The sequence below is a fragment of the Homo sapiens genome, chromosome 7 (genome assembly GCF_000001405.40).
Source record: "Homo sapiens chromosome 7, GRCh38.p14 Primary Assembly".
NCBI classification, from domain to species: domain Eukaryota; kingdom Metazoa; phylum Chordata; class Mammalia; order Primates; family Hominidae; genus Homo; species Homo sapiens.
The window spans coordinates 77,451,460-77,464,409 of record NC_000007.14 but is presented as its reverse complement, the minus strand read 5'-3'; the positions used below and the strand labels follow the sequence as shown (position 1 = coordinate 77,464,409).

General features: G+C 40.5%; 1 pseudogene, besides 1 other annotated feature; it reads right to left on the bottom strand.

The window, feature by feature from the left end:
• Nucleotides 522-601: a silencer, noted in NCBI's record as "silent region_18323". NCBI's record gives its function as "represses an Ori minimal core promoter by ATAC-STARR-seq in GM12878 lymphoblastoid cells {active_cell/tissue: GM12878}" and the evidence as "EXISTENCE:reporter gene assay evidence [ECO:0000049][PMID:35858748]".
• GCNT1P5 (glucosaminyl (N-acetyl) transferase 1 pseudogene 5) lies at nucleotides 2,077-2,983 on the bottom strand (annotated as a pseudogene).

The window sequence follows — 12,950 nt, the reverse complement described above, 5'->3', positions numbered from 1 at the left end:
CTGCACCAGCTTGCTAACTGGTTTCCCTGTTTCCAATATTGATTCTCTATTCTGCCAACAAATTGACCTTCTAAAACACAAATCTGATCATGACCTTCTTCTGTTAAAACACCTTTAGTGAATTCCCACTGCCTTCAGAACAAAATTCAAATCTTTAGCATGACATAAAGGGTTCTTCATCATCTGACATCTGCCCTTCTGTTTAGCCTTATCTGCCAGCATGCTTCCTCGCTTCAATATAACTTTTTTTTTTTTTGAGACGGAGTCTTACTCTGTTGCCCAGGCTGGAGGGCAATGGCGTGATCTCGGCTCACTGCAACCTCCTGGGTTCAAGCGAGTCTTGTGCCTTAGCCTCCCAAGTAGCTGAGACTACAGGCATTCACCACCATGCCTGGCTAATTTTTGTATTTTTTAGTAGAGACAAGGTTTCACTATGTTGCCCAGGCTGGTCTCAAACTTCTGACCTTAGGTGATCCGCCTGCCTTGGCCTCCCAAAGTGCTGGGATTACAGGCGTGAGTCATTGTGCCAGCCCAATATAAGTTCTTGGTCATGCTGAACCAATTTTACTTCCCCATACTCACCTCGCTTTGTCATCACACTTTCATAACTCTGCAGATACTGCCCCTCTTTCTTGGACTGACTTTCCTCACTTCATGTGGGAAACTCTTATTCATCCTTTACTCAGCGACCATCTCCTTTCTTGATTTGTACCCACTCCTCCGGTTTGGTGTTAGCCCATTATGCCTGTTGCGTATTCTGATGCATACACCATTGCATACTTCGTCTTACTCTAAATCTTAACTTCTTCACTGCTCTGTAATGCAATTGTCTGTCTTTCTCTAGACTGAGACCTTCTAGAGGAAAGATCTGCGTCTTCTTTATCTTTTTCCCTCAGCACTTATTATAATGCCTGGCACGCAGTAGGCATTCTGTAAATGTATGCTAAAATAATCAATGCATAAATAGTCCAGAAAAGTTCAACATGGACTAACTTTAAAATGAGATTAATTATGACAATTGTTAGTTCAAATTTTTTTAATTAAAAAATTCTTTACTATTAAATCAAGCCAATTTAAGCTTTCTGGGATGATATACAGAGACACACTACACAGCACAATGGTATAGCAGAAAAGAAATTATTTACAAGGATTGTTTAGAGTAAAATCAAATCTCTATTTTAACAAATATATGAGATAAACTATATCTTTATGATTATTTTTTGCTGTAAATGTATTCATACCAGGACAATTGTCACATTTAAAATTCTCTAAATAATTTTGGCACAGGTGAAATCTTCTAACGTTGTTAAGTCCCTAAGCTCTTTTTCTTTCTTTTCTTTTTTTTTGGAGACAGAGTTTTTGCTCTTGTTGCCCAGGCTGGAGTGCAATGGTGCAATCCCGGCTCACCACAACCTCCACCTCCTGGGTTCAAGCGATTCTCCTGCCTCAGCCTCCTGAGTAGCTGGGATTACAGGCATGCGCCTCCACGCCCGGCTAATTTTGTATTTTTAGTTGAGACGGGGTTTCTCCATGTTGGTCAGGCTGGTCTTGAACTCCCAAACTCAGGTGATCTGCCCACCTCAGCCTCCCAAAGTGGTAGGATTACAGGCGTGAGCCACTGCACCTGGCGTTTTCTTTTCTTTTTTTAGACAGGGTCTCTGTCACCCAGGCTGGAGTGCCATGGCATGATTACTGCTCACTGGGGGCTCAACCTGCTGGTCTGAAGCAATCCTCCCATCTCAGCCTCCTGAGTAGCTGGGACTACAGGCACACATCACCATGACCAGTTAATTTTTTACAAATTTTTTTGTAGACACAGGGTTTCCCTGTGTTGCCCAGGCTGGCAACTAGAACTCCTGGGCTCAAGCAATCCTCCTGCCTGAGCCTTCCAAAGTTCTGGGATTACCAGGGTGAGACACTGCATCCAGCCCCTGAGCTCTTTCGACAGGCTGATTGTTTTGTGTCAGCCTCTTCTCCAGCCGCCTCAGCCCATTCTCTTCAGAATGACTTGCTACCGGCCCTGGCTTCACAGCTACTTTTATTATACTTCCCCCTCACTTTAACTCTAGATGAAAGTTTAATGCTCCAACCTTTCTAGCCAACTGTGCTCTGCAGAAACCAGGCAGCTTTTCTGACACAAAGACTTAGAGTCCTTGCTCCAAAGAGGGCCCTGTACAATTTTCCTGGTGCTTATTGACAAATAAGAGGAACCAGATAGTGTCAATTTTGCGCATTCTTCTTCTTATTACTAAAATTGCCTATAGTGGCCAGTGTTTTAAAGTCTCCAAAGTATGTCTCAGATGCTCATCTAAACACTGGATGGCAAAGAGGTCACCACCCGTGTCAGGCTTATTGGCAAACAAATGGTGCTTGCACAGTGTCCAGTTCAAGGTGCCAGCTCCGAAAAGGCACACTGAGCGCACATGGGCCCTACTGCAGGTGGGTAAAGAGTGCTTCAAAGTGCTGCCACCTGACAAACCTAGAAGCTGCATGCATGTCAGAAGAGTCATACTTACGGCTTAAGGAGAGTGAGCTGGGGACTTCGGGAATCCTTTGAACAGTGGCCTAGAGATACTTGCTGTATGTGTCTTGGGCCTACTCCATAAACTTTTAAATTTTTTTCATTCTCTAGCATATACCCCACGTCCTCCCTACTGACCACAAAATAGGCACTGCCTGAAAAAAGAGATGTTTCGAGTGGAGGACACATTTTGACAGTCCCCATGTTTGTCAGCTTTCCACTAATAACTGCATGCCCTCTTTTCCACTTTTCTTCCTTATTGACTAGCATCGTCTCAGTTTCCAGGTTGTTTCCACCCATTAATGACTTGAGCTTCCTGAAAATTTCCAGGTTGGTTTGAATAGCAAAATCCATACCATAAAGATTCATCAAGTACCCTAGTCTGTACTCATTGTGTAGAGGTCCTTCATGCAGTTGAGGTCAGCCTGAACCACTCCACAGGAATGCAAAAACCACACCCTCAGCCCCTCAAGGCTTCTGTCAGGCAGAAGCAGCACAGTAGGGCACCTTCTTGCACCTCCAGGGCCAGACTTTCACTCCAGCACTTTCTCTCCATGCAGAGTAAAGCACGGGTACGGTAATGGGTGCCAGATGTCACCTGGAATCAGAACACTAAATGATCCAGACTTTCCTTAATTCTAAATGTGCTGTTCTTTATTTTAATATACCTTTGCACTTCTGATACATGCAAACTGACAACCTTCAAGGCCATGAAGGAGGAACATCTGTTGGTGCTTGAAGCCTAGAAGACTGCCCTTAACAACAACAACAGAAGTCCCTGATTGTTGTTTGAAATGCTGAGGAAGTTGCTGTGGAGGAGACTTTTTTTCTTTTTTCTTTCTTTTTTTTTTTTTTGAGACGAAGTCTCACTCTGTCGTCCAGGCTGGAGTGCAGCGGCGCGATCTTGGCTCACTGCAACCTCTGCCTCTCTGGTTCAAGCGCCACGCTTGGCTAATTTTTGTGTTTTTAGTAGAGACGGGGTTTCACTATGTTGACCATGCTGGTCTCGAACTTCTGACCTCAGGTGATCCACTTGCCTCAGCCTCCCCAAATGTTGGGATGACAGGTGTGAGCCACCGTGCTCGGCCAGGATAGATTTTATTTTCTAAGCTCCGGAGCTTTTGATATGCCTTTGGAGAAGTTCACACCAATTCCAAACAGGTTAAAAATGTTATACAAAGTTAGTGCATGTAATAAGTTCTAAATAAATTTGAATGTTATATAAGGTTCAATATATGTAATATTGTATTGAACAATACAATTAGAAGTAGATGATTTTTATTTATAGGAAATCATTTTACTGCATTGATTATTGTAGATTTATCTAGGAGAATGTTGGCAAAGGTCACATTAGTAACTGAAATCTAAAAGACTCCAAAGCCTAAATTAAGATAATGACTTACGTTTTCTTATTGCAACTTTTTGATCAAACCGGTTGCAATGCTTCTCTTCCTGTTCTTCCTGCCCTCTGGTGGAGGTGCTAACCATCAGGCCAGGAGATAAGCAAGAGCCATAAAAGAGAATAGTGAAAAAGATCAAGGTAAGCCTAAATGGCAAGCCACTCCTGAATAATTGAAGAGCCACTGTTTACCTAGAACAAACCTCTGTTCCTTGTTTTTTCCAACGTTAAATAGGGACAACAATATTTACCATAATTCCCAATATTTACTATTATTCCCAAGCTGGTACCTTTCCATAGGTACTGCTTTCTACCTTTGGTCTTGCAGACCTGGCTAATTCCCACACAAAGGAAACCATTCTCCTACTGTGGCCTCTTCTATGCCTGGAAAAGACTGCAGGTTGGTACAGTATAAAAAGCAGTGGACTCCATCGTGTTGGGTGTTTAGGTCGCCATTCCATCACTTGACTCTTCAGAGTCCTTTCGATCCTATTCCTTAGATCAACAATGTACTTTTATTTTGTGACAAATCCTTCCTAAGCTGGAACTTGGCATAGGAAGCTTTGTTTCATTGAAGGAGATAATGAATTTGAAAGAATACTACAATTTTATTGGGTTTGTATATGATTTAATGCATTAATGACATTTATTTTATTTATGTTGTTAATTGCTAAATAATAGCAATCTTAAATATTTCTGAAACGCCTTTTATCTTGATCCTGAAAGATAGTTGCTATAGCATTAAAATACACTTAGTTAAGAAAAAAAAAAAAAGCAGTGGACCAGGAAGTGAGGGTTCTGTTTCCAGCTCTGGCTCTTGCTAGTGGCTTGGATGCCCTTGGGTAAGTCTCTTAACCTCCCTGAGACTGGGTTTCTTCATCTGTAAGTTAAGAATTATGATATTAATGGGTCTATTGTGAGGTTCAAATGAAGTAATGGTAGTTAAAGTGCTTTGTAAACAATAAAGCACCCTACAGAACTAGGTAATATTAATGCAGTGTTGACAACTCTTCTCTGAATCAACATTTAACTTGACTTGGTTGTCTGTGTACTTTAAAATGAGAAATAATGGTTTATCCTTTTAATCTTTAGCAAATAAACGAAGCCTTTGGTCTCGGATCCATAGAAAAAGCAAATTCTATGTCCTGATGTGATCCAAGTCTGTGTGTGGACTCTCTAGATCCTGCTTCATTTTTGTTTTAATTATAGCATTGAAAGAGTGGAAGGTTTAAAATTACACCTTTCAGAACTACTCATTATTTAGTGACTCTACATTTCAAATAGATTGCTCATGTCTTTAAAATATATGATCGGGTTCTTTTATTGTTACCTTGGCCTAACTATACGTTTATTGACATAGTGATGATAATGGTTTTTAGTTTTTGTTTTTAACATTTCCTTGAAGCTGTGATAATTTAGAAGATTTAAATATTTAGACATATTAAATGTTTAAGTTGCTTACACATTTTATTCTGTGTGGCTGAGGATGATTGCGAAATACATAGAATTATGTAACTAGAAGAGTTGAGAGTTCTGCACTTCTTTCTCTGCTACACACACAGTCTCTCATCCCTCTTCCCATCCCACTTTCTTAGGATATACTAGAAGAAAAACAAAAAAGGTGCTTATCTGAAAAAGATAAAACTGTCAAAGGTACCTGGTCCAAGTCACCATTATTCTTGGCTAGGTATTTACAATAGCCTCCTATCTGGTTTTCCCACTTCAATCTGTTCTTAAAATAGCAACCAGTGGGCACGGTGGCTCACACCTGAAATCCCAGCACTTTGGGAGGCTGAGGTGGGAGGATCGCTTGAGTCCAGGAGTTTGAGACCAGTCTGGGCAACAAAGCAAGACCGTGTCTCTACAAGAGAAAAAAAAATTAGCTGACTGTGATGGTGTGTGCCTGTAATACCAGCTACTTGGGAGGCTGAGGTGGGAGGATTGCTTGAGCCTGGGAGGTTGAGGCTGCAGTGAGCCAAGACTACCCTACTGCACTCAGCCTGGGCAACAGAGTAAGACCCTGTCTCAAAAAAATACATCTATATCTATATAAATACAGGTATAGATATATCATTCATAGATAGATAGTTACATAGATAGATAGATGAATAGATTCAGCCAGAATGATAAAATCCATGTCAGATAATGTCACTTATCTGCTCAAAAACCTCCGAAGGCCTTTACTCCTCTGTCTTCTTTTCCTCCCCACTCCTGACTCCCTCAGCACAGCCATACTGGCCTCCTTGACCGCACCAGGGCCATGTCAGCCTCAGAGCCTTGCTGTGAAATGCTCTTTCCTCAGATACTTGAATAAGTAGCTTATTCACCTCCTTCAGGTCTAATTATCTCCCCAGTGGTCTTCTCTGTCCCATCTGTTAAAACGGCAGCTCTCACCCCACCTTTTATCCCTTCCTCTATAGTGCTTATCACCATCTGACACACAATATGTTTACTTACTTCTTTTGTTTATTGTCTGTCTGCCTTTCTAGAATGTAAGGCCATGAGGGCAAGGGTCTTGTCTGTTTTGTTAACTGCTGTATCCTCAACACCCCGAAGAGTTCCTGGCTTGTAGCAAGTGCTCCATAAATGTTAGCTGAATGAATGAATGAAACAAAGATAAGTCGTGGTCTTATTTGATTTGCAACACTATAAAAATTGTGAAATTTTCATCAAAACAAAAAAACGCTATGAACTTTTTGATATCTTCCAATAATGAGACCTATTATAACATCCAAGGCATTAGTGTCCTTCTCTTTCATATCCTCCCCCTCCCAAACATTTTGACCATTCTATGTTTCTAGAATTGAGATCTATTTTAATCCATTACTGTTCTTTTAAGTATAATTGTGTAAACCACTCACAATTTGTCACGAAAGGAGGAAAGAATTGAATAATAATGAAATACTTGTTGTTCGTTTTTCTTTGACACTTTAATCTCTTGATGATGTTAGTTTTGGCCATTCATTTTCTGACTTCTCTTTCTCCCCCATCTCCAAAATATACATATTACCAAAGGATCTTGCTTGGATTTCTTATCTTGCTTTGCATGTTCTCTGTTAGAAGTCGTATCAACTGTTATGGCTTCCGTTGTCTCCTTGTCTTAGATTATGCTCATATTTATAAGCCTAATTTTGACATTTCTTATTGGCCCTAATTTTATGTTTCCCTTGCTGGGCCATCTTTCAAGTTCTCAAACCTTTTATGTCTAAACCAACCGGGCACAGTGGTTCACGCCTATAATCCCAGCGCTTTGGGAGAATCATTTGAGCTCAGGAGTTCAAGACCAGCCTGGGCAATAAAGGGAGACCCCGTCTCTACAAAAAATTGAAAAATTAGCTGGGCGTGGTGGTGTGTGCCTGTGGTCTCAGCTACTTGGGAGGCTGAGGTGGGAGGGTCACTTGAGTCCAGGAGGTTGAGGCTGCAGTGAGCTGTGATCATGCCACGACACTCAAGACTGGGAGATAGACTGAGACCTTGTCTCAAAAACAACAACAAAAAACTGGCTCCTGTTCCAGTAATTCGTTTCTGTTAATGACCCTGCTTACTTCTAAATTTGGAAATGTTTTTAAGGCTTGTAATCTTTTATGAGTTTCTTCATATTGTCAAGCCTTGTTGCTTATACTTCTCGAATATCAGCTGATTCATTTCCTTTTTTGCTTTCATTAGATTTGGGACGGGGCCTGAGATTCTGTATTTCTAATATGTTTCTGTATCAAGCTAATGTTTCTGGTCCATTGACTACACTTGGAGTAGCAAGGTCCTGCTCTAAGATAATGATGTCCATCTGAACCTAGTCTTCCACTTTCTATTCCATAGCTATATCTAAGAAAGACTCAATTCTTTCAAGAATAGAGATCTGATATTGCTCAGTCTTGTTTTTTTCTATGTCACAAAAGATTTGGAAAGTTATAGACAGAAGATGAAACACTCAAATCAGCCATAATGGTCAATTCAGAATCAATCATGAACAGTTTGATGTGTATCCTTTTACTCCTTTCTTTATTTGAGTGAAAATACACATTCATGTTGTATCTGTATTTTTAAAACCAAAAAGGATCCTTTATCTTCTTTAAATTACCTAATGTATAAATTTGCTTTCTAAGTTTGTTGACTCCCCCATCTTATAAAGTAAAATCTACCTTTTCTTTCTTTCTTTTTTTTTTTTTAAAGAGAGGGTCTCACTCTGTTTCCCAGGCTGGTGTGCAATGGTGCAATCATGGTTCACTGCAGCCTCAACCTCCCAGGCTCAAGCAATTCCCCACCTCAGCCTCCTGAGTAGCTTGAGACTACATGTGTATATCAGCACGCCCAGCTAATATTTATTTATTTATTTATTTATTTATTTATTTATTGAGACCAAGTCTCGCACTGTCATCTGCACTGGAGTGAAGTGGCCCGTGATCTTGGCTCACTGCAACCTCCGTCTCCTGGGTTCGAGCGATTCTCCTGCCTCAGCCTCCTGGGTAGCTGGGATTACAGGCACGCCCCACCACACCCTGCTAATTTTTGTATTTTTAGTAGAGACGAGGTTTCACCATGTTGGCCAGGATGGTCTCAATCTCTTGACCTCATGATCTGCCCACTTTGGCCTCCCAAAGTGCTGGGATTACAGGCATGAGCCACCGCGCCCAGCCAATTTTTGTATTTTGTAAAATATATAATTTTTGTATATTTTAGAGTTTCGCCATGTTGCCCAGGCTGTCTTGAACTCCTGAGCTCAAGCCTGCCTCAGCCTCCCAATGTGCTAGGATTTCAGGCATGAACCACTATGTCCGGCCAAAATTTGCCTTTTCTATAGAATAAAAACACCCAATGCTGTTTTTTTCTCAACCTCTTTAGCTGCTTTTGGGGACTTGGTGCAGCCAAGCAGATGAATCCTCTGTTGACTTTGGTTCGGGGCTGGTGACTCAGAGCATCAGGGATGATGCAGAATCCGCTCTGGCCAGGGCCACAGCAGCAATAGCAGCTGCATCTGGTTCCCAGTGGCAGCAGACACAGCTGTTCTGAGGCAATATGCAGGGTCCAGCTCCCAAAGACTTGGCAGTGCAAGCCATGGGGTCAGTGCTTGGCAGCTGGAGTGGTGACTTCATGGACCAGCTCTGCAGAAGGCTTTGGGTATGGTTCTTGCCTGGATAGTTCTCTTCCCACCTTTGTTTCTTAAATTAGCTTCAAAGTTGACTTCATACACAGGTAACAAATACTAATGATATTAACAATAACTGACTCTTAGGTAGTGCTTACTATGTGCCGGGCAAATTTCTAAGGACTTTATGTGTATTAACTCATTTAATCTTTTACAAAACTCTAATGAGTTACGGACTGGTGTTATCCCCATTTTATAGACAAAACAGTTACAGGGAGGTTAGGTTACTTGTCCAAGGTCCAATGACTATAACTGGTAGCTCTGAAACTCAAACCTAGTCAGTCTGATCTAGTTCTTAAGAGCCTTGACTGATACGCGTACTGTTTTGCAACCTAATTTTTTCATGTAACAAAATTTCTTGAGCATTTCCATGTCATTAAATATTTATTTAAGCATTTAAAGTAGCTGTGTAATGTTCAATTATAAGGATGATTCATGTTTTATTTACACAACTCTCTACTGTAGAACATCAAGGAAATCCTGGTGGCTAAACTTTTTTTTTTTTTGAGATGGAGTCTTGCTCTGTCGCTCAGGCTGGAGTGCAATGGTGTGATTTCAGCTCACTGCAACCTCTGCTTCCCGGATTCAAGCAAGTCTTCTGCCACAGCCTCCCGAGTAGCTGAGACTACAGGTGCATGCCACCACACCCGGCTAACTTTTGTACTTTTAGTAGTGATAGGGTTTTGCCATTTTGGGCAGGCTGGTCTTGAACTCCTGGCCTCAAGCGATCCACCCACCTCGGCCTCCAAGTTGTTTTGTTTGTTTTTAATATCCATGAGTTTTTCCTTGGGATAAAGTCTTCAAAGTGGAATGCTAGGTCACGGTGTATTCAAATCGCCTTCCTGAAAGTTTATTCCAATTTACACACCCAGCCACGGAGGGAAACATCCTGTTTTCCTGAGTCCTTATTGACATTGAATGTTAACATTAAATTGTTTTCCTTTGTGGCACTGAAAATGATACATAGTTTTCTTTAAACTTGAAATTATTTAAACATTTAAACATACGTTTATTGGTTATTTGTTCAAAGTTATTTTATGAATTGCCTTTTCCATCACCTATAGAATAAAGCTGAAACTACTTCAGTTCAAAGCTCTTCCAACTCTGACTCAAACTACTTTTCTAACTAATTCTCCTACAGTTTCTAAACATTCATTTGGGACACTCAAGGGGATTATTTTGTTTTCGATTGGACCATATGAATATATATTTTTCTAGGCCAAAAAATTGTTGACTATTGATAGTTTGATATGGTGAAAACTTATAAATCTCCAAAACCTTTGCTGTGACACTACAGTACTTTCCACAAATGCCTGTTGCCCGTCTCTGCTTGGTGAAATCCTGCTAGTTCTTTACAAGGTGGAGTTCATGAATCAGGTCCTCTCCCTCCAATTCCCTTGCCACCCCTCTCCAGGTTCTCCTCTCACCCCCAGCTTAGGCAACTGTAGATCATTTCTTTTCACAATTTCAACTCTCATTCTTTCCTCTCACAGCTGTGGAATGATCTCAGGGTATTGCAGCTGAATAACAAGTTTTCATTTGCCTAGCAGAGGGTGAGCCCTCTGTTGCTCTTCTCTGGCAGAGGCTGTCTTATTTATTTTGGCAGCCTCAGAGACAAGCAAAGTTCCCGGCTTATAGTGGGTGCACAAAAATATCTGTTGAATTGAAGAACTAGTAACTTTAGGGACGAGGAAGTGCCTTATTAGTGCAATACTACTTGCAGTTTCCTTCCATGTTAAATAGGAAGAGCATGTGTAACACCTTCTAATATCTTCTAATTTGGTTGCTTGGTATTTTGTTTGGAATTGGTCCTCCTTATTTTGAATCCTGCATCTTTCTAATTCATCTTTTCCTGTATTTTCAGATGTTGTAATTATATTGCAGTTCAACAGAATTATTTTATTCCATGGTACAATTCCCAAGAGCAAAACAGCACAATTCTCTAACTGGCTAAATAACAAATCAGCATACTTTCCAAGGACTATATTCTGTGTTTTTTCCTTTTAATCAAATCCATCTTTTCTGTCAGTTGGACTTTCAGGAGCTTTTAGTGACTTCTGGGGAATACCAGTGCTATAGACAGTGTAGCTTCAGGAAACATTAAAAGTAAAAATATTTTAAAAAATTCATTCAAAACATTTAAAAGGAATCTTACTGAGACAGTCTTCTGTTTATATAAGGGATACACTGCACAATTAACTTAAGGTATACTTACAGGAAGAAAATCATGAAATTATAGAACTTTAAAGCTAGAAGAGACCCCCAAAGCGTTTCAGTATGTGCTCTTTGGTGAAAAAATACCAAATAGGAGTTGGGGAGAGAATAGTTTGAGCTTAACTTTGGCTCCATATTCCCTCTCCAGTTAATTTGAGTGAAGTTCCAACTCTTGCTCATCTTTTCTACCTGCATATCCTGCCCTAGTCATTCCTGGAATGAGTTCAGGTAGAAGCAGCTGCAATGCCAGGCCTCTTTTGTGTTTATATTCGGGGAGACTGGGCGTTGCTTTATGTATTCTTCATCCCCTCTTTTCCCCTAGACATTTTGCCAGCTCTGGCCTTTTCTTTCCTGCTTGCCCATTAGGCAAGAATGTGCTCAGTATTTTGCCTTTTCTAAGTGGGCTTCTCTAACTAGGAAACTAGTTCAATGAACAGGTCCAAAGAGCCAGAAGAACTGCGTAAGATTTTGTAAAATGTGAATGGGGTATTATAATTTAAAAGACAGATTATAACAAGTGTTGATGAGAATGTGGAGAAACTGGAACCCTCATACACTGCTGGTGGGTTGAAAAATGGTGCAGCCACTTTGGAAAACAGTCTGGCAGTTCTTCAAATAGTTAAGCATAGAGTTGCCATATGATCAAGCAATTCTACTCTTAGGTGTACTCAAGAGAAATTAAAACATATGTCCAGGCCGGGCATGGTGGCTTATGCCTGTAATCCCAGCACTTTGGGAGGCTATGGCGGGCAGATCATGAGGTCAAGAGATCGAGACCATCCTGGCTAACATGGTGAAACCCTGTCTCTACTAAAAATACAAAAAAAATTAGCTAGGCTGGTGGCATACACCTGTAGTCCCAGCTACTTGGGAAGCTGAGTCAGGAGAATCACTTGAACCCAGGAGACAGAGGTTGCAGTGAGCCGAGATCGCACTACTGCACTCTAGCCTGGCGAAAGAGCGAGACTCCATCTCAAAACAAAACCAAAACCAAACAAACAAAAAATACGTCCATAGAAGAGTTTATACATGAATGCTCATAGTAGTGATATTCATAATAATCAAAGAGTAGAAGCAATCTAAATTTCCATCAACTGATGGATGGATGTTGTATGTCTATAAAATAGAATACTATTCACGAATTAAAAGAAATGAAATACTGATACATGCTGCAATATGGATGAACCTTGAAAACAAGTTAAGTAAAAGAAGCGAGTCACAAAGGACCATATGTTGTGTGATTCTGTTTATATGAAATGCCCAGATAGGTAACTCTATAAAGACAGAAAATAGATTAGCAGTTGCCTGCAATGATGGTGGGAGGAGTGGAGCTTCTTTTTCAGGTAATGAAAATGTTCTAAAATTGATTGTGGTGGTAGATGTGTAAATCTGTGAATATACTAAAAGCCATCAGATTGTACACTTGAAGTGGGTGCATTGTACAGTCTGTGAATTATATTGCAATAAAGCTGTAAACAAATTAAAAGAATGGGTATTTTTTTTATATGTAATTTTGTTTCCTGGTACTTTTCTGGCTAGCTGGAGATTCCCATGCCAAATTTCAGACTTACTTTGTTCTTTGATTCTACTTGAAGTCCAGCCAATAGCTCATTAGCTATTAGCAGGGTGGGAATTTGACTCACAATGCAACTTAGACATGAAGATAAAATATA